Source organism: Homo sapiens, chromosome 4 (assembly GCF_000001405.40).
Source record: "Homo sapiens chromosome 4, GRCh38.p14 Primary Assembly".
Lineage (NCBI taxonomy): Eukaryota > Metazoa > Chordata > Mammalia > Primates > Hominidae > Homo > Homo sapiens.
In genome coordinates this window covers 154531269-154552745 of record NC_000004.12, presented here as the reverse complement: position 1 = coordinate 154552745, position 21477 = coordinate 154531269, and the positions used below count along the sequence as shown (strand labels likewise).

The 21477-nt window shown below is 35.1% G+C and overlaps 1 protein-coding gene and 1 pseudogene across 2 annotated transcripts, besides 3 other annotated features; both read left to right on the top strand.

The window, feature by feature from the left end:
- Nucleotides 335–629: an enhancer, noted in NCBI's record as "tiled region #11496; HepG2 Activating DNase matched - State 12:CtcfO, and K562 Activating DNase unmatched - State 12:CtcfO". NCBI's record gives its function as "activates a minimal TATA promoter and a strong SV40 promoter by Sharpr-MPRA in HepG2 and K562 cells {active_cell/tissue: HepG2 | K562}" and the evidence as "EXISTENCE:reporter gene assay evidence [ECO:0000049][PMID:27701403]".
- Nucleotides 2013–2172: an enhancer, noted in NCBI's record as "active region_22079". NCBI's record gives its function as "activates an Ori minimal core promoter by ATAC-STARR-seq in GM12878 lymphoblastoid cells {active_cell/tissue: GM12878}" and the evidence as "EXISTENCE:reporter gene assay evidence [ECO:0000049][PMID:35858748]".
- Nucleotides 2193–2242: an enhancer, noted in NCBI's record as "active region_22078". NCBI's record gives its function as "activates an Ori minimal core promoter by ATAC-STARR-seq in GM12878 lymphoblastoid cells {active_cell/tissue: GM12878}" and the evidence as "EXISTENCE:reporter gene assay evidence [ECO:0000049][PMID:35858748]".
- Nucleotides 2346–17741, top strand: PLRG1 (pleiotropic regulator 1). Of its 2 annotated transcripts, none has more exons than NM_001201564.2 (15): nt 2346–2446; nt 3811–3917; nt 4893–5035; nt 5682–5708; nt 6533–6623; nt 6823–6910; nt 8200–8301; nt 10467–10559; nt 11812–11961; nt 12051–12152; nt 12693–12795; nt 13533–13641; nt 14638–14777; nt 15267–15460; nt 16002–17741. In NM_001201564.2, exons 1-15 carry the CDS (start codon nt 2438–2440, stop codon nt 16059–16061), a joined length of 1518 nt encoding a protein of 505 aa, NP_001188493.1. In that variant the 5' UTR covers nt 2346–2437; the 3' UTR covers nt 16062–17741. The 2 variants fall into 2 exon arrangements, with proteins under 2 accessions (NP_001188493.1, NP_002660.1); NM_002669.4 differs by having other exon boundaries at nt 5682–5735.
- On the top strand, nt 8709–8813 carry RNU6-1285P (RNA, U6 small nuclear 1285, pseudogene; annotated as a pseudogene).
- Nucleotides 17742–21477: the final 3736 nt, after the last annotated feature.

Genomic DNA, 21477 nt, shown 5'->3' with positions numbered 1-21477 from the left:
TGAATTAACGAACAATTTCAAATATGAAATTTAAGGGATGGACATACTGAGCCACACAACTCTAAAGAACATTGCATATAGTGTTTTTTAAAGCTTGTATATTTAACCCTCTAAGTTGAAACAGAAAAATAAATAGTAATATTTATTATTTTATAAGAATCAGAAAACACTTCCTATAAAAATATCATAAAAAGCTGATGAAAATGGCACTCAAATCTATACTCATATGACCTATCACTGTTCAAGAGCAAAGGACAATATTTGAAGGAGAATAAAAAGAGTTTCTGTATTGGTGAGTTTAAAAAATCTTGCCTAAAGAAGGAGGGCTTTCCTTAAAACTTGTATTCTTGGTTTTACACAGACATAATACTAATAATTTATATTAATAAGTTACTTGCCGTGTCTGCTTTAAGGACAGCCCTGAGGGCCCGTACAAAGAGCAGTGGTGACACCTGCTGTTCAAATAAGGCAGCTTCGGGTGTCAGCCAGGCCATGTGTGTATGACGGAGCCTTTCAGGAATCCAATTAAACTTGTGGATCCTTTCTCCAGAAAATAAAACATATTCCCATATAAATACAAAATTTTCCTACAATATACATAATTCATGAATCCCTGAACTAAATAATAGGGTCACTTGAGTTCTATATTTATCTAAAATATTGTAAACTTTCAAGGGGATGACATCATTCTATAAATTCACGACAGTGTTTTAAAAGGAGCAAATTCGAGGCAATTTACCTCAATCATTACCATGTTGTTATTGAGAAATTAAATTAATGTCTCCAGGATGATTAAATATGTAAAAAGTTAATAGATCCAACTAGACAATTAATATATTGCCATATATATTAGTCTTGCTTAGGTTTCTATGGTTTTATTGTCATTTCAAATCATGTTATTTTCTATAGTTATTATTAATAGGTGAGTATATTATTTAGTTCATCAAGTATATATTTTACAATTATGGTATTTTCTTGCAAGGAAATACCATCACCTGCCACCTTTACAGAAAAGCAATTCTTAGGCCAAACTCACAGTTAAATTCAGAGATGCTGTATCTTCAAGTAAAAACATGACCTTAAGGCAGGGCTCAGTGGCTCATGCCTGTAATCCTAGCACTTTGGGAGGCCGAGGCGGGCGGATCACCTGAGGTCAGGAGTTCAAGACCAGCCTGGCCAACATGGTGAAACGCTGTCTCTACTAAAAATACAAAAATTAGCCGGGCATGGTGGCGGGCGCCTGTAATCCCAGCTACTCCAGAGGCTGAGGCAGGAGAATAGCTTGAACCTGGGATGCTGAGGTTGCAGTGAGCCAAGATCGCGCCATGGCACTCCAGCCTGGGCGACAAGAGCGAAACTCTGTCTCAAACAAAAACCCATGACCTTAATGTTTTTAATGAATTTCCAAGTAAGGTTGATTTATATTGCTATTCTTTTGCTAGATTTTTTCCCCCTCTCAAAGTGTAAGCAGTATGCTCTCAGGACAGGATTAGTGAAACTGAAACAGGGCCAGTAAAATGTTTGTCTATTTAAGTTTGTAAATGCCTAAGTCCATCCATTTTTTTTTTTACATAGAAAAATAATTGGGTAGGGTTGATCACAAACCACAGATTTTACCAGGGTAGAAAGCAAAAATACCAATACTTGGCACAAGGATATGTATAAATAAAAATGGCTAAAGTCTCCAATTGTGTCTTCTACCAGCTTTGAAAAGCTGTACCCTGGCATTGTTGAAGCCACAATAATCAGCAGGCAACTAGGAAATGGACAAGAGCTATGCAGTTTTGAGAAATTAAAAAAAAAAATCTATTAGCAGAAAATAAATATGGGGTTTTGTTATAACTACATGTCAAAATTTTCCAAATTAAAACAGCTATTCCTCAACGTTCACTTAACAAGTGTTTACTGGACTGTTTAAGCGAAATTGTTTTCAGGTGTTAAGCCTACAAGTGTCCAAGTGCTTCTCGCCAGGATTAGAACCAGGAGACACAAAGCACGCAGGCGACCTCCAAAGAGATCAAGGTAGTGGAAATGCCTTAGATAGAGCCCACGGGAGTTTGCTCTCCAGACGCTTAGGTTCTCTGAATAAAAAGCGTTAAGCTTCCGGGGAATACAGCACGAACAACCAGGACCCCAACTAAGGCAGAAAACATAATTCTAAGATTTCTTCAGAGGGACGAGTGAAACCCTCCACCCAGGCCCTTCCAGGAGTCTCCGGCTTTCAGCCTCGAGACTCCGCCCTAGAGGCGGTCCCGAGGAGGGAGACCCGCCTCCTGATCCTAGATGGCCGAGGGAGACTAGCGCGCGTGCGCAGAGCTTGCATCACATCCGCCGCCTGGGCGCCCAATTCCGGAAGGTGCTGCACAGCTGTGGCGGCGGGTACTGCGTTAGTGATTAGAGTTTCTTCCCTGCCGGAGGTGGGATACACGGTAGCATCATGGTCGAGGTAAAGTGACACTGGGGCTCTCAAGAGTCGTTTGTCTCTGGACTGTTTTTTTTGGCAGTGCGCGTGGGGGATTGAGAGTACTTGGAGTCCAGAGAGAAAAGAGGCTACGAGGGGAGCTATTTGGCCAAGGCCGAGTGGTCTCTTCTTCGGGTTTTCGGGGAAGGGGTAGAAGCCGGATGAGAACCCGAGTCGGAGGTTCAGCCTGGGCGCGAAGCCTGAGATAATTCGTCCAGTCCTCGTTTGACTCTTGGGAGCTGGAAAGTGTCCTCGGAGGCGGGGCCTCTGTTGGTGATCGACCACTGGTACTTGCCGCCCTCGGGGCAGTGTCAGTGAGTCTGTGCCCTAAAAGATTGGTAGTCTTCTCTATCTTGCGTTCAGGTCGTCTCTTATTTCACCTCTACCCCCAGAAAAACTTGCCGTTCTTTACATCTTTCCCTGGCATGAACAGCCAACGCTGTTAGCTGGTCTTGTCCATCTTACCCCACATGTTTATTGATTCCATTCACTCTTCTCCATATCCGCTGCAGTCCACCTTAATTGAGACCAACATCATCTTTCACCTGGACTGGTGCATTAGCTCCCCGTTGGTTGGTTTCCTTGCTTCCATTTTGTTCTATAAGTTGTTCTGTTTAAAACGTAAGTTGTTCATACCTTTCTTGTTTAAAACCCTTTACTGACCCTATGTTGCTAGAACAAAATATAGGCTGTTGTAATAGTCTAAAAGACCTTACCTAATCTGGACCTTGTCTACCCTTGCAGCTACAAAGCACCATCTCATCCTCCATACACAGCTGTACTGCGCTCCTTGTATTATTTCAGTTAACTGAACTTTTTTTTACATGACATTTCCATCAGCCTGGTTCGTTCTTACCTCTGTTTTGTGCAAGGCTAACTCCCTTTCTGCTTAAATATCACCTTAGTGAAATCTTTCACAATTATACTTAGTCCTTCATTCCCTGACTCAGCGCCTTGCTTGTTGCCTTCATAGCACTTATCAAAATGTGGAATTATTTTACTTTTTATTTGTCTGTTTCCTCTTGAGCACAGGGACCATGACCACCTTTTTATCATTCTATTGTGAGATTCTAGCACAATACCTGCCAGACACACAGTAGGAGCTCAGTAAATATTTATTGAGTAAGTTAAACTCCGGCATCACTCAGTTGCTAAACCTGAGGTTCTAGCCAAAGAGGAGCTTCCTCCTCTTCTCTGAACTTGACTCCTGTAGCTTGCAACAAGTAGCTATGGTGAGTGGTATAAAGCTTTTTACATATTTAAACACGTGAAGTGTATAATCAATCTGACTTTAGGTTATGATTTGTGTAATTTGTAGATAGGTGTGTAATTACATTCTTTTTTTTTAGGAGGTACAGAAACATTCTGTACACACCCTTGTGTTCAGGTCGTTGAAGAGGACCCATGACATGTTTGTAGCTGATAATGGAAAACCTGTGCCTTTAGATGAAGAGAGGTTGGTGTAGTTTTTTTTTTTCAATTGCTAAAATACTTAACATTCTAATACTAGGGGAAGAGAGCAGGGAGAGGGAGTCCTTTAAAGATAAGCTAGTCATGGGCTAATTATTCAATAATGAGTGGTGTTTTGGCATAATTTAAGCTGATTTAACTTTTTTTTTTGGCCTTTTACAGTAAAAGTTCCATTAATTAATTGCATTTTACAAATACCCAGTAATTAAGAGAGTCCCTTTTAGGTATTTTATTTTATAATCAATCACTTTGTATGTGCTTTCAGCTTCCCGCTGCTCTCAGAGCCTTGCTGAGCTGAAATTGTACCTGGCTAGTACCTCTACTCCCATCTTTTCTCGTTAGTATGATGAAGATTTTTGAGTGGTGGCATATTTTTGGTTCTACATATCCAGCTCCAGTCTGGGAATGCATTATGTGCAGTGTTCCTTCTTTGTCCTTTACCTTTTTAAAATCTACTTAACTCCTCAAACAAGCATTTATATTTAATTTATAAAGTAGACTATTTTTAAAAGTAATATAAATGCATTTCTTTTTAAGATATTGAACCAATTAAGTACTTTGATTAGTTCTAACTAACCTGTTTGGATACATCTAGTAAAGGTTGCTATAGAGTTTTTACTATATTTATATTTTGAAGGAAAGTATATTGACTTTGAGGTTTCTTAAAGGGTATGTTAGTTTCTGTATATCTTTCAGTCAGACCCTTGACAATTTATCATAAAAGGTTTTCTATTTATTAGGTAACAAACTAAAATATTACGTAGGTTTAATGAATGCTGTGTGGTCGAATGTAAGCAAAAGAACAGATATGGTGGGGAAATGCCCTTGGAAATTTTTGATTCTTTTAAATACTACTTAAAATCATACTAGAAACTTTTTCTACGTGAATGGGCAAACTTAAGCTAAGTGTTTGTTTTAAAGTATTTATGGATACGTTCTTATGTTTATAATTTCTAAATAGTCACAAACGAAAAATGGCAATCAAGCTTCGTAATGAGTATGGTCCTGTGTTGCATATGCCTACTTCAAAAGAAAATCTTAAAGAGAAGGGTCCTCAGAATGCAACGGATTCATATGTTCATAAACAGTACCCTGCCAATCAAGGTGAGTATGGTATTATCAGAAATGTCAGACTTATATGTGAATTTTAAAAACAGAAAAATAAAATATGTTATTTTTGCCCCTCCTGGCAGGACTTATTGTGGTCGTACAGTATTTAATGGCCGTACCTGTATTATAATGGAAGTTTTGATCCTCATGGGAATACTGTTGATGACTTTTTTCTTATAGGAAATAAAAATGGTAGTATAATGATGGCAGAGATTCTTAGAGTGTGGAGAAGGTCACAGTAGAGATTAAAGGAAAAAATTGGAGAATATTCTTAACCTGTGAGGACACCATCTATCTTGTCTGTAATTCAGAAAGATGAAATTAAATACTGAAATCTTAATAAGTAAAGAGAATTCAAGATTCCACAGGAAACCATTTGCTTGGAAGAAATACCAGAGTGGATTGTCACTTGATAGGAGGGCTTCTTTGTATACCATTGCTATATAGCAAATGGTCAAGGACATGGTTTACAGAGATCAAAGCAAAAGTGATCAACTTCCCTTATTTCTGAGGCTTGACTTTAGTTGAGAAAATTTGATAGATCCAGTTGAAAACTTAATATTACTTGATACATTTAAAGAGATGATAACTTTTGTATAAGGTAAATTCACTACTGTTGATTTTTTTTGTGTTTTTTTAGGACAAGAAGTTGAATACTTTGTGGCAGGTACACATCCATACCCACCAGGACCTGGTTAGTGAGCTGTTATATATTGAAAATGTCTTAAAAATGTCACATATATTTTCACTAACGAGCCAATAATGAGATTCTTGTTGCCTATAAAATGCAAGATAAGCTCAGTAGCCAAGCATCCATGCATAGCTTTGTAGGTAATAATGAATACTCATATGCCTTCATTCAGCAAACATTCTTAAGTACGTATAATTTTTCAGGCAATGTGCTAGGAATTCAAAGACAGTAAAACTGTTGCAGGCCTAGTTATTTATTATCTGGTGGTTTAGGCAGACATGTAAATATCACTAAGCTTGTAAAAATGATGGAAATGTTAGAAGCAGTATCTGAGAAACATGTCCTCTGTCTGTATTAAGGCATTGGTCCACAGATGGAGTGGCCAGTGTAACAGGGTAGAGGACAAAAGGCTTAGTATGTAAAGAAAGTACAGGGAAATTGGGTGTTTCTAGTTTTAGTAAGTTACATCCACTCTTGGAAACATTCTGTTAGTATTTGAGGAACTGCTTAATACTGACTTGAAACTAATACCCAAATATAATGGAAATTAACTTTACTATTCTGGGCTGCTTTAATACCATGTGGGCTGTGATCAAATCAAATTTGAGTTACGTGTTATTAAGCAGTATTTATTGTAGAAATTAAAAACAAAGATGAGCAAAACTTAATCAAATTTGTATAATATCACTGCCTGGAGATAATAAACATTTGGTGTATGTTTTCCTTCATCATTTTATTTTAAGTGCATGTAAATGAATAATACACAGCTACTAAAAGAAGTTGATTTTTCATTTTAATAGGGGTTGCTTTGACAGCAGATACTAAGATCCAGAGAATGCCAAGTGAATCAGCTGCACAGTCCTTAGCGGTGGCATTACCTTTGCAGACCAAGTATGAAATATTATAATTACAAAGATCTTAAAAGCATATTTCACTGTTCACATTTTTTCTTTTTAAAATTTCTTTATAACTATTATATGACATTTTCCTTTATCAGGACTTTATAACAATTTAAAATAAAGGGTTAGTTTTGCAGAATACATGACTGGAGGCATTAATTACTTTGAAAATATTATTTCTTTTGCCCCAGGGCTGATGCAAATCGTACTGCCCCTAGTGGAAGTGAATACCGACATCCTGGGGCTTCTGACCGTCCACAGCCTACAGCGATGAATTCAGTAAGTTTTTCTGCATCAAATAGCAGGTTTCTAACTTTTGGAACATGTTGCCATATTTCCCTCTTCTTTGGAATTATTAAGATAAATAGCAGCCTGAGCTAGTCATTCATATTTCATAGCCCTAAAACTCAAGTTGGTAGTAAATTAACGTATTTTTTGGAATTTAATTCTGTTATTTGTCTACTTGTACATTGTGTGTAATATATATTTTGATAAAGATAATGTGATGTTGGTATTTATTGCCCACTATTAAAAATGCAAGGAGAGTTTTTCTGAAACTTGTGTTAGTATGTATTGAATATGAAAGTCTTTTTTTTTTTATTAAATTTTAAGTTGGTGTGTACAGTTATCTTGAGTGCTGTTAGTGTTGTACTATTCATGGGCTATACAACTAGTCTTATAAATGAGCATTTAGAAATAAGTTTATCTGTTTGTAAGTAAATGGCAACTGGTATTAGTATGGTAGAAATAGTTGTTGAATTTTCTATAGTTATTTTATTGATTTATCTGCAGCATAATAAAATATGCTGCCACTTGAAATAAGTGCTGGTTTTGCTTCTCAGCTCATTATGCAATTGATTTGACTTTATGAAGTGAATGAATGTGTAACTGCCACATCTCCTTTCCTCCTTTATTCCATTCAGAGCACGTCTTCTGTCCAGGCTCTCTACCCTCCTTATGAGGGTATAATTTAAGCTTCTTGAGGGCAGGAACTTTATGGGCTTATTTATGTTTTGGATGACTAGATGACTGCTAACAACAGATGGTATATCAGGCAGTATACCTGTTAAAATAGTATTTAAATATTGTATTAGAAGATAAATAGAAGGAACTGTCAGTCTTTGCTATATTAAACCAATAATGTTAAAATATGACAATGAAAGACAGTGGCACTAATACACTTAAAATGACTTTAATATTGGGAGCTTACATGGAGCATTTACTACTTATTAAATCTTTGTAGTAACCCTATGAAATAGGCACTATTCTTCCCATTTTACAGGTGAGCCACATAGAGGTTACATGATTGTTACCTAATGTCAAACAGCTAGTAATTGGCCAAGCTGGGTTTTGAACCCGTACACAGTGATGTGTGCTCTTAAGTCTAATGCTCTGCCTGTCTGTGATTTTATAATTGCTTTTTTAAGTTAACATACAGAAAATTGTATTTCTTCATTTATGGAAAAATTCTTTTGTAAGTTCCCTCTTTCCATTTCCATTTCTGAATTGATATCATGAAGCCTTAGGTATGATGTCTTTAATAATAATAATGTCTCTTCTATGTCTAGATTGTCATGGAGACTGGCAATACCAAGAACTCTGCACTGATGGCTAAAAAAGCCCCTACAATGCCAAAACCCCAGTGGCACCCACCGTGGAAACTCTACAGGGTGAGTGACTCTGCATTTATTTTATTATGTGAACCATGATTGCTTTGTAGTTGACAAGCACTGAAGAATAGAATAAGGAGGAAAAAGAGTGAATATGAAAAGCTGGTAGAGCGATCTGAGGTGGATTGAGAAGAGTCGTAGGGAGTATCTTAAAAGATCTCTTGGGAAGGTGACTTCCTTAAGCAAAAGTTATACTTTTATATAAAATAGTATGAAATGTCAAGATAAAGCTACTAAATATGGATGGCAGACTAAATAAATGTAGAAAAAGTGTTCAAAGTATTTAGTTTGAAGGTGAAGGGGAAAAACACCATATAAAGAAATTTATTTGGGCCTACCAGTTACTCTTTCAACTACAATAAATGAAAATGATTCAGAGTGTATCATCTAAAAGAAAATGGACATGCATGCTAACTTCAGCAGCACATACACTAAAATTGGAATGGTACGGAGAAGATGAGCATGGCCCTTCCACAAGGATAACACAGATTCGTGAAGTGTTCCATACTGTTTATTTTGCATTGCTTGCCTATACCAAAATATCTCATGTACTCCATAAATACATTTCTACTGTGTACCCACAAAAATTAAAAACAGAAAATTTTAAAAAAGAAAATGTACATAGTAGGAAATGTACAGCTACACATAATTTAATATGTATCTTAAAAATTTCATTTTTCAAATGATTGTACAGTAAGAGCCTTTTTGTTTGACATACAGCTCTAATGAATTGTAATAGATGTATTGATTTGGGTAACCACTACCACAATTAGGATATAGATGTTACACCACCTCAAAAAACACCCTTGTGCTATTCGTTTGTAGTTACACTTTCCTTCACCTCTGACAATCACTGATCTGTTTTCTATCACTATAGTTGTCTTATTTTTTTTCAATAATTTCAGTTCTAATTTATTTTTAATTTTTATGGCTAACATAATAGATGTGCATATTTATGGGCTACATATCAAATTTGATACAAGCATACAGTGTGTAGGCCAGGCATGGTGGCTCATGCCTATAATCCCAGTGCTTTGGGAGGCCTAGGCAAGCGCATCTCTTGAGCCTAGGAGTTCAGTACCAGCCTGGGCAACACAACAAAACCCCGCCTCTACAAAAAAATACAAAAATTGGCTATGTGTAGTGGAGCACACCTGTAGTCCCAGCTACTCCAGAGGCTGAAGTGGGAGGATCACTTGGGCTCAGGAGGCGGAGGTTGCAGTGAGCCAAGATCACGCCACTGCACTCCAGCCTGGGCGACAGAGTGACACCCTATCTCAAAACAAAAAACAAAGAAAAACATACAGTGTGTAATGATCAAATCACGGTAATTGGGATATTATTTCTTTGTATTAGGAACATTCCAATTTTACTCTTCTAGTTATTTTGAAATATACAATAAATTACTCTTAACTGTAGTCACTCTATTGTGCTACCAAGCTAACTAGCCAAACTAGTGCTACCAAACTAGCTAACCAAACTAGTGCTACCAAACACTAAATCTTACTCCCTTTATCTATTTTTGTACCCGTGATCCACCTCTTCTTTATCTTCTGCCTCCCCACTATTCTTCCCAACCTCTGGTAGCCATCATTCAACTCTGAAGATCATTTATTTTTTAGCTCCCGTATATGAGAGAGAGCACGCAATATTTGTTTTTCTGTGCCTGGCTTATTTCACTTAACATAGTATCTTCCAGTTCCATCCATGTTGTTGCAAATAACAGAATTTCATTCTTTTTTATGGCTGAATAGTATTCCATTGTGTGTATGTACCACATTTTATTTATCCATTCACCTCATGATGGACACTTAGGTTGGTTTAGCTGTGTCTTTTTGACTATGTCATATAAATGGAATCATACAATATGTACTTTTTGAGACTGGCTTCCTTCACACAGCTTAATACTTTGTGAGTCATTGAAGTTGTTGCAAGTATTAATAATGTATTCCTTTTTATTACTGAGTAGTTTACATTATATAGATGAGCCACAATTTGTGTTAACTATTAACTCACTGAAGATAATTTCATATTATTGTAAAATGTAATAGTCATTATCTTTTATGATTTGAAGATGGGAGGGCAATTCAAACTCGGGCTGCAGTTAAACTTAAATACATTTTAACTTCTACGTTGGCCTGCCCATTCTACTTTGTTTTATACAGGTTATCAGTGGGCATCTTGGCTGGGTTCGATGTATTGCTGTGGAACCTGGAAATCAGTGGTTTGTTACTGGATCTGCTGACAGAACTATAAAGGTAATAATGAAGGAAGAAAAAATAAACATGACTTTGTGTTTGTCATGTAAGTTTAATCAGTTATTATTTCCTGTGGCAGGAATTGCTATTGCAGTTCCTCTGTTATTTTAGACCTGAATAAGGAGTAAAATTTATCATTTATACTAATAAGTGTTCTAAATAAATATCTGTTTGAAAAGTGCTATTTAAACCACTTTTTCTTTACCTACTGAATACCTACCACTAATTCCTTTATACTTACATTGTTCTCTCCAACTGGTTACAAAATTAAGAGCATGCTCATTCATAGAAAATGTGGAAAATATAGAGAATTAGGAAAGTACATAGACCTGTATATAATCCTACCATTGTTAGATATTTGGATAAGTTTCGTTTTAGTATTTATTTCTGTAAGTATCAATACCTTCACTTCTAAGCTCTTTTCCTGTGTGTGTATCTTTTAAAAAATCATTCTTAGTATGTAATTTTGTATCTTGCTTTTTTCACTTAACGTTGTATCAAAGGCATATTCCTGTGAAAAATTTACCATCTTTTAAAGTGGTTGCATAATATTATATCATTTAGATAGTCTGTAATCTGTTTTCCTATTACTGGACAGTAGAGTTTTTAGTCTGATTTTCACCATTACAAGTAATGCTGTTAAGTTTTGTATATAAGACTTTTTCTGTATTTTAAATTATTTTGTTATGGTAGAGTTCCATAAATGGAATAAATGGGTCAAATATTTTTGAAGCTGATACCCAAAGTACAAATTACTTTCCAAATGGGTGAATCGATACTTGCAGTGTATGAGAGGATCCTTTTCAGCACATTGGTTGTACATTCCTTTACAAATATCTAATATGGTAAGCAAAAATGGATACTTAATCTTTTTAAAAAACTTTGTATGAAATTTCTAATGAGTGTGAACTTTTTCATATCTGTATTTGCTGCTTTTAGGATTTCTTTAAGTTGTTGCCAGCCTCAGTTAATTTAATACCATACTTTTCTTACTGTTATTATCAAAGATATCATTTATATAACAAGAAGGTTAACCTTTTGTCATCTAATTGCAAATATTTTTCCAGTTTGAGCATGCCAGTTTTTTTCTTGCTTTTATTTGGAGGGGAGTCATTTTGCAAAATTTTTTATTTTTACGTATTTGTTATCTTTTTCCTTTTGTCTTTGAAAGCTCAGTTTTAATAATCAGGTTTCTAAAATTTTGTTTTGCAGTAACCAGTGAAAGAAAAAAATAAATATTCTTTGATTGCAGATCTGGGACTTGGCTAGTGGCAAATTAAAACTGTCATTGACTGGGCATATTAGTACTGTGCGGGGCGTGATAGTAAGCACAAGGAGCCCATATCTGTTCTCTTGTGGAGAAGACAAACAAGTGAAATGCTGGGATCTCGAATACAATAAGGTAAGTTTGGAGTTAAGGATTTAAAACATTGTGAACTACTATTTATCTTTCTAATTCTAGAAGTTTTAACTTTCCTGCTTTGTCTTTAGGTTATACGGCATTATCATGGACATTTAAGTGCAGTGTATGGTTTGGATTTGCACCCGACAATCGATGTGTTGGTAACCTGTAGTCGAGATTCAACTGCACGGGTAAATGGGATAGAGTTGTGTATTTATCTGTAAATATATTGCATCTTGTAGGGTGCACTTTCGGTTTCAGTGTCTTCAATTGATTGATAGAGAATTAAAGATAGCTGTCTTGAGTCATCAATATCCTAGTCCCTAAGTTTCTTAACTTGCATTTTTTTCCACCTTAGTCTTCAGTTGTATGGCCTCACCATGTTAGTGTTATTAGTGCCCTGCCCCTGAAATGTGATATTCTCACGTTCCATTCTGTAACAACTATTGTCCATTAGTTCTTTCATTCAGTAGTCTTAAAAAGTAGTCCCATCATACTCATTCTTAGATTTTCAGTACCCTGATCTTTTAGCTTTTTAGAATTCTTGCAAGTTGTCTCCTATTTATATTCGTCCTCCAGTTTGTAAATCATTATCTTTCACTTAAGCATTTTCTTTATTATATTCAGGCACTAGTTATGTAGTAAATTTTCAGCCTTGAATTGATCCAGTTATCTTCTTGAGATAATGAATACCTATTCTCTTTCCTAATATGTCTATTGTGTTTTTATAGATTTGGGATGTGAGAACTAAAGCCAGTGTACACACATTATCTGGACATACAAATGCAGTTGCTACAGTGAGATGTCAGGCTGCAGAACCACAAATTATTACAGGTATGATCGATACTTTTCAAGTTTACAGAATATTCATGTCAGAATCCATGTTATTATACATATACTTTTAATATTCATGATGACTCTTGCTCTGTATTGTGTTTACAGTGTTTCTGTGTCATATTTTAATCATGGACAATTGAAATGTATTCAAATGAAATTTCATTCCACTGTTTTTACCTCATGCTTTTTACATATCATAGAGTATGCCATACATAGTATCCTGTAATGTCTGACTAGAATACTGTGTTATGAACAATTATTATTTTATAGTGTCAAAATTATTTTTCTAAGAAATTGAAGTTAGAAGACAAAACATCTTGAGACTAGTAATCTTTAGAACTGATTTGAATCTTACTTTGCTCTAAATAAAGTTAGTAACAATGGATCTTTAATACTAGAAAATAATTCCTTTGCCTGATGTATTTTATTAACTTAAAAAAATCATTGAAGTTTTTTCCTTTTCACTAGGGTATACAATTATATATTTATTTGTTATTTGCATTTGTTTTAGCTGTTCAATTGACAGTGAATCAATTGTTGTATTGCATTTTTTTAAAGAATTAAAATCAACCTAAAAATTTGGAACTATGAAGAAATTAGCCAAGACTAATTTGCGTGTGATATGACTTTCATTTAGAACATATGTGTTTTGGAAGAATGCTTTGTATTTTATTTAACTTTTGCATTATTTTTCCTGGTCTATGTTTTGAGGGATATATGTGTTTCCATTACAGGAAGCCATGATACTACAATTCGATTATGGGATCTGGTGGCTGGAAAAACAAGAGTGACATTAACAAATCACAAAAAATCAGTTAGGGCTGTGGTTTTACATCCAAGACAGTAAGTGTATTTTCCTAATTAGCTTCTTGTTTTTCTTCAGTTCTTAAGATAATGCTGAAATGCTAGTGGTGTTAGCACTGCTTTTGGCAGTCATTTAGCTGCTGTCATTTCTAGGCCTGTGCCGCATAGGAACGTGTGTTTCTTTTATTTTCCTCATGCACTATTTTGCTTCATGCCCTATAAAACATGAGGAAAGCCTTCTACTTGATAACAAATAAATAATGTCAAATGAGACAGTGTAAATCATGATTAAATGCTGCATGTCAAAATAAAAGATATTAGTGGCTAGGCTTAATGTTTTGGACATAAATGATTTTGGACACTGAGACATTCATTGAATAGTTTAATTCTTAAGGAGGAAGTTAATATATGTAGAAACAGAAATAATAAGAACCGTGAACATTACAGTCAGAGTATCCAAAAAGGTGGAGCATAATATCACAACTATTGTTTGGTGTATCAGATCACTCTGACACTTTTCTGGATTCTTCCTCTCCTTCCTTTCCTCTTCTCTGTCTTCTACTCTCCATACCCTTTTCCCCCTCTCTTCTTCCTTCCTTTGCTTATCTTTCTCACTCCCATTTCGCCTCTCCTCCCTCCTGTTCTCTCTCTTCCTCTTGCCCTCTATTCCTTTTCTCTCTTTCTTCCTGTCCTGTCTTGCTCTCCCTCCCTCCAAAAGAGTTGCATAACACATTGCCCTTCATGTGAAATAGGGCTTCTGCACATTTATTGCTCTGGCTTAGTGCAGAGCATTAAGGAAATGAAAGGAGAACAAAACATTAATCTAGGACTTAAAATATACTGTTAAAAATGTGAAGGTCTGATTTAACCTTGAACAAATGTCTTAATATTTTTACATTTTGATACGACTATTTTGCTGAATATATAAATCATTGAGTACACACTGCAAAATATAACTGAAATAAACTTTTTAAAACCCACCACTTTATTTAACTTGGTTTACTTTGTCGTTAATTCTTTTTAATATTATTTCAGTTACACATTTGCATCTGGTTCTCCAGATAACATAAAGCAGTGGAAATTCCCTGATGGAAGTTTCATTCAAAATCTTTCCGGTCATAATGCTATTATTAACACATTGACGGTAAATTCTGATGGAGTGCTTGTATCTGGAGGTAAAATAAGATTTTTATAATAAATATGTTTAGTCTGTTATTTTTTCTTTTAATGATGAATAAACATTTGTAATGCTTCTAAGCTGTCACACTTAAGTATTATAGCAGCACTTGCCTGGTTAGGGCATATTTGCATGTTATTATGTGTGTTCATGCATATTCATATTACATGTAGTATATTTCATAGCTTAGTCCTCTTTGAGTTCCCATCTAATGAATCTCAGGGATTTATGCTGGGAATTGCTTAAAATTTTGTTTATTATTCTGGAATTGGATGTCAGATTTTCAGGTGCTTTTTAAGATCTATAAGTTCTGAACCCAGCCCAAATGAAAGTAGACAAACCAATATTAAGAGAAGGTGGAGTGCCTGTGTCTTATGTATTTTTATAACCGTAGTATTCCCATGCTTGGGCTAATGATGCTTCATAAATGTTTGTCAAGCTGTACTGCTGAGGGGATACCAGGTGTAACTAGATTTTTCCCTTTAAGCTGACAATGGCACCATGCATCTTTGGGACTGGAGAACTGGCTACAATTTTCAGAGAGTTCACGCAGCTGTGCAACCTGGGTCTTTGGACAGTGAATCAGGAATATTTGCTTGTGCTTTTGATCAGTCTGAAAGTCGATTACTAACAGCTGAAGCTGATAAAACCATTAAAGTATACAGAGAGGATGACACAGCCGTAAGTTCTGTGTTTCACATTCGTTAAGTAAAACAGCTATACCAATTTGGCAGCATATTCTCATTTAATTATCAGAAGGAAAAATAATCTTTATAGTATTTAAGATATCTGTCTTCTTGAATAGTGTCCATTTATATATTTCTATATTGTTTCACTGATGCCAGTGAATCCATGGATGGCTTTAATTTTATCCCAACTTCCTTTGTTATAGTTGCTGGGAAATGTTGCACCAAGAATAACAGCAAATAAATAGATTGCTATGTAAATTAATTCGAGAATCATAAGCTTTGGTGTTAGTAGAATATCCAAGTAGAAATGTTATTTTAGATGGAAAACTACAAACTAAACATAATGAATCCATCCATCTGTTATTAGACTTGGATAATGCCAGAAGTTTATCAACTCTTCCTAAAACTGTCAAAGAACTAAGTGTATAAAGCCAATGAATAATGTTAGATACCTTATTTTTGTTAGAAAGGAAGCCTATTAGACATGAAGCAAACTAATAATACTTTATTTTAACTCACTTTTCTATTTTTAGACAGAAGAAACTCATCCAGTCAGCTGGAAACCAGAAATTATCAAGAGAAAGAGATTTTAATGAATGTGGAATTTTTTCTCTCTCTTTTTTTTTCTTTTTAATTAAAAAAAAAAAAGCTTGGCGTTCATGAGGATATCCAGTCATTTTGTGCTCTGGCTGGGAATATAAAGGAGAAATTCACTTGCTTCAATCATTGCTGCTTCATATTTTACAATAAACTGTCCCCTGTCCCCTACCCCTGTGTTTTTATTTCTAAAACAATTTGTGATACTAGGAAGATGCAGATATCAAGTAAATGCAGGTTTATTGAACATAACTATTCTAGATGTAATATTTTGACAGTCTTATTAGAAAACCCCCTTTTTTAAAAAAAATGTATGAAACCGATAATTAGGACATTTGAAGGAGCAGTAGTTTTTTTTTAGTCCTTTAAAAAATAACATCTGTGACTAATAATTTGAGATTAAAAGATTTGAAGTCTTAATTTATGTATGTTTATTCCAAAAACAGTTTTTGAGTGTATGTTCTACAAAGTTCTGCACTAGATACTGTTCAGGAAATAGACAAGTAAGATGTGTCTATCCTCTAAGACTTCCAGTTTGGTAGCTTAGTATAGAAATTCTGTAACAGAGGTGCAGGTGAAATGCTGGGGGAACAGAAGGGATAAGACCATTTATTTTTCTCAGGAAGGATTGTGGAAGACTTCATAGAGTAAGTGGCATTGGAGATTACCTTGAAGTGAAGGAAGACAAAGAAGGAAAAGAGATGAGGCATAAAGTGATGAAACCAGGCACAAGAAAGTGTGCGGTGTGTTCTGGGACAAAGAATGTTCTGCTACTGTCGAATAATGGGACTAAAGCTGGCTTGTTCTGGGGAAAGCTCATATAAGTATGGATTTTATTCCTCAACTAGTAGGATACCAATACTGGTATTGAAACTTGGGGAAAATAACTGGAGATACCAGTGCAGCTATTTAAAGCTGTAGCAAGGGCTGCAATCTTGCGGAGATTTTAAAGAGAAGTTTTAAAGTTTCTAATACTGATGCCTCTTTTTGGTAAATACAAGTTTTATAAATCCTGCCCTGGGATCCTGATTCCCCATTAATCAAGATTTGTCAGACTTCACCTTCTATAATTAGAAAACACAGTTATAAGAACAGTCAATTTTTTAAATTTTCCAAATTAAAAAATTGCACCATGATTTTGAACAAGCACTTCCAATTACATTACCCATCTTGTATGCCATAGGTGGGAGTATAATTGTCACAGCCTTTAGGAATGTAGTTTTCTGGGATTTATTGAAACTTTGAACCTTTTGGCCTACTAAGTTCATTCCTAGGAAACTGCCTAATGGGAATGATCTGACAAGTGTACACAAGCAAAGTCATTGCACCTTTGTTCTTTAATACTTAAAACTAGCCCAAATGCCCTGTCAGTAAGGGACTGGTTTAATAGATGGTACCTTTATGCAATTTGTTTCTAAGTATTCGTTAAGAGAGTGAGGAATGTCTGGATTATTAGGGCAAGATTTCTAAACTTGGGTAAAAAAAAAAGTTGTGCAAGCATTTTTGTGGACAACTTGATGCTCTAAAATATAAGTAACACCACATTACTAACAGTGGCTTTGTTAGGAAGCAGAATTATGGAAGAACTTTCATGGGTGGCTTTACATATTTCTATAATGTTTTAATTTTCTATAAGCATGTATTTCGTAAACTTAAATAAAGAAAAAAGAACACTACACTTGCATTCCTGAGAGATTCTGATATGCCTTCTAACAAGAAAAATCAGAGGTGGATGCTGTTCCATCTCTAAAGGCCAAGAAGAAATTACTAGTACAAGGAGATGAGAAAGCCCCTACCGACCTGTCTGGCAAAGCTTCAACTATTGTGTTCAAGTTAGGTATACGTATCAAATTCTGAAAAGCATTAAAAAAAAATCTCTTTCCCTGCTCCATGCTGCCCTGTATTACAGTGTTCTTGAATCCTCTGTTGCATTAATTCATATACCATAATGTGTTTGTGAACCCTATGAAAGATGCAGAATTTCATGCATGTGCCCTTTTACTTACCTGACAGACATCCAACCAGGGTTAAGCTCAAATCTTTTCCACTGCCCATTCCGTACAGCTTGAGTGTAGTCAAGCTATAAAATGTTACCAAAGAAAAACAGCTCCACTGACTGGACTCATTCTTGGTCTATAACCACATATCTCAAGTGGGCCATCAATAATGACCAAATACACATTTCCATAGTTAATGCCTTCTGCCTGCTGTTACAGAGGATGAGCAATCTGCCTCACAACAATTCCCTCTGTGCAGTTGTTGCCATACACTCTTGCCCACTCAAGGACCTTGCTCCCATGATTAAACTCTTTCTCTCCTGTACCATGAATTTCTTCCCTCTGCCCTAAATGAGTGTCATCAACAAATAGGTTGCAATACTGCTTCTTAGAAAAAAAAAACACTAAACCTATTGTTTCCCTCTAGGAATACACCCATTTCTCTACTCTTACAGCCAAACTCTTAGAGTTTTTGATAAACTTATTTCTATTTCCTCACTTTACATTTTTTCAACCAATTGCAAAAAAAAAAAATAATGAAAATGTGTTAAACATTTTTCTTTTGAAAAAAGGAATTGGTAAGTTAATAAGGAAAAATAATAAATACTGATTTTTTTGGTACAAAAATAGATAAAACTAGATAAGCCAATTAAACAGAAATATAAATAATAGAAACAAAGGGAGGAGGGAAGTAATAACTAAAAGAGCTCTGTCCAATTCCATGCCATTTGCCAAACAAAATGATTAAAGAAAAAAATAGCCTATGGCTATTTCAAAAGGATACAGAAAACATAAACAAATTAATTGCCATAAAAAAATGAAGTTGTCAAAGACAGCCACCTCTACCACCACTAACACATACATCACTAAACCTGAAGAACTTCAGAATTGAATCCTAACATAATTTAAATGCACTTGAAATTTTTCCTAGGACCTTGATAAACAAGGAAATCTTTTGTGTGTTTTTAAATGTTACTATAACAAAGACACCTAAATCCAATAAAGAACAAATAAATTGTGATTTCATCTCACTTATGGATGCAAATATTATTAGGAAAGTTTAATAAAAGAATCAAGCCACATACCCAAGTGGAGATTATTCTAAGAATGCAAGGATGGTTTACTATTAATATAGCTAATTAAGTTAATTAGCTATATTGATAATTAGCTATATTGATTTAGATAAGGTAGAAAATATGAGCATCTTCATAGATGCCAAAGAAGGGTTTCTATACATAGAAAAAAGCATATGTGTGTGTGTGTGTATATATATATATATATATATATATTTTTTTTTTTTTTTTTTTTTTTTTGAGACAGAGTCTTGCTCTGTTGCCCAGGCTGGAATGCAGTGGCACAATCGTGACTCACTGTACCCTCTGCTTCCTGGGTTCCAGCGATTCTCCATGTAATTTGAAATTTATTCTTGGTTAAGAAACTTATTAACACAGCAGTAGATAGATACTTTGATTAAATACGGCTCTTCTTTCTTAACTTGGTCAGAGGAAGTTTCTCCTGAAACTTCTTTAGGAGAATTTACAAAGCTGAAAATCAGAATTCTCATGGAGAATTTCTGTCTTTCTTTCCTTGAGAATAATTTGTTAGCTAATTAACATATCAAATAGAAATATTGATACCTAAGAGTCATAAATTATAGTTTAATTTTGTAAAAACTGAAGTTTATTGGACTACTCTGCCTTAGAATGGGGGGAATGGGTGTGCTTTCCGCTTGATTTAAAATTGTGACCCTCCTATCTAAATCACATAGTACACCCTAGCTATCGCCTATTTCTGCTCTATTTTTCTCGATTATTATTTTTTATTGTTTGTTTCACCCAATAGAATGTAAGCTGCAAAATAACAGGTCTATTTTATCACCAATGTGTTGGCTGGTATTGTTTTGTTAGATAACTGAAGTCAGAAATTTTAATAATTAGGAAATTGGAAGAATCACCTTCAGTGATCTGATTTGAATTTTTAAACTTTTGTAACAAAAGCATATTATTGAATGAATTATTAAACAATGGGATTTCAGAAGTAATTTTAACAAGGTTAATTTGTACATTTATGAATTTAAAATGTAATTAATATTTAACAGCAAACTCATAGATTTGGAAGATACTATGATGTGATTAAGCTGAATTTAGAAAGTGCGGGTTACAATCTCACAGCATTTGTACTGTTCAATTTTTCAAAAAGTAAAATTTTCTTCTTTGAACAAACTGTACCCTCTACTGCTCTTTTTTTTAAGTAGCTTATGGTTAAAAGATAGTGTCAGCTGGGCATGATGGCTTGCGCCTGTAATCCCCACAATTTGGGAGACCAAGGCAGGAGGATTGCTTGGCCCCAGGAGTTCAAGACCAGACTGGGCAACATAGTGAGACCCAGTCTCTACAATTTATTTTTTAAAAAATTAGCTAAGCATGTTAGCACAAGCCTGTAGTCCCAGCTACTTGAGAGGCTGAGGTGGGAGGATCACTGGAGCCTGGGAGGTCGAGGCTTCAGTGAGCCCTGATGGAACCACTGCACTCCAGTGCAGTCAACAACAGAGTGAGACCCTGTCTCACAAACAAAGATAGTGTTTGCATTTCTAAAAAATTTAGCTCTGAAATATATAAATAATATAAGTAAATAGAGTATGCATTACATCCTTGCTTAATTTCTGTCTGAAATTCAGAAATTCAGATAAGTGAGGATGGTCTGAAGGTCAGTGGTAAAAATGTTTCACCTGTTTGGATACAAAACTGAGATTCCTATAACCTGCACTGAGTTGTTTATACCTCCTGGGGATAAACATATTTTGTCTTGTGGCTTCACCATAAACCAAATTTATTAAAGAAAAGGACTGACATGCATTTCAAGTAGTCTTTCTTTATAGCTTTCATTTGTGGTGATAAGTATCAACTGGAAATTTCTGAAAATGAAATTGAAATGACCCACCCCTGAGAAGAGCAATATTTGGTTGGCGTCTCTAACATCATACTTAAAAGACAGCCTATGAATTTCTTAAAAACTTTCAGACATTTCAGTTTGTTCATCTTCAGCACCATCCTGATGATTCTGTGATATCATGTGATCTTTTCTTCTGATCAGATGTCTGCACTTCTGGAAGAGGAGAAGGTATAGTTCAGAGCAGAATAAAACCCTGGTTTTATTCTTGGCTCTGACGCTGATTAATTGTGCAATGCGCTTGTCTACAAGTGACTTCAGTGACTGCATTTTTCTGTTCCTCAGTTTTCTCACTGGTGAAAACGAGTGATAATAGTTCTAGTCTCATCGAGTTGTTGTGCCTATTAAAGAGTAAAGTCATTGCAGGGCCTACCAAATAGTAAACACTCTACGAATATTAGCTATTATTTTGCTGGTTATGTTAATTGCCATCATGGTTGGTTACTGCTGCTGAAGTTTTTTATGG

Coding starts and splice junctions, on each gene's coding strand:
- PLRG1 (NM_002669.4), top strand. Junction 3,918..4,892: donor GTGCCTTTAGATGAAGAGAG/GTTGGTGTAGTT, acceptor ATTTCTAAATAG/TCACAAACGAAAAATGGCAA. Junction 6,624..6,822: donor GCATTACCTTTGCAGACCAA/GTATGAAATATT, acceptor CTTTTGCCCCAG/GGCTGATGCAAATCGTACTG.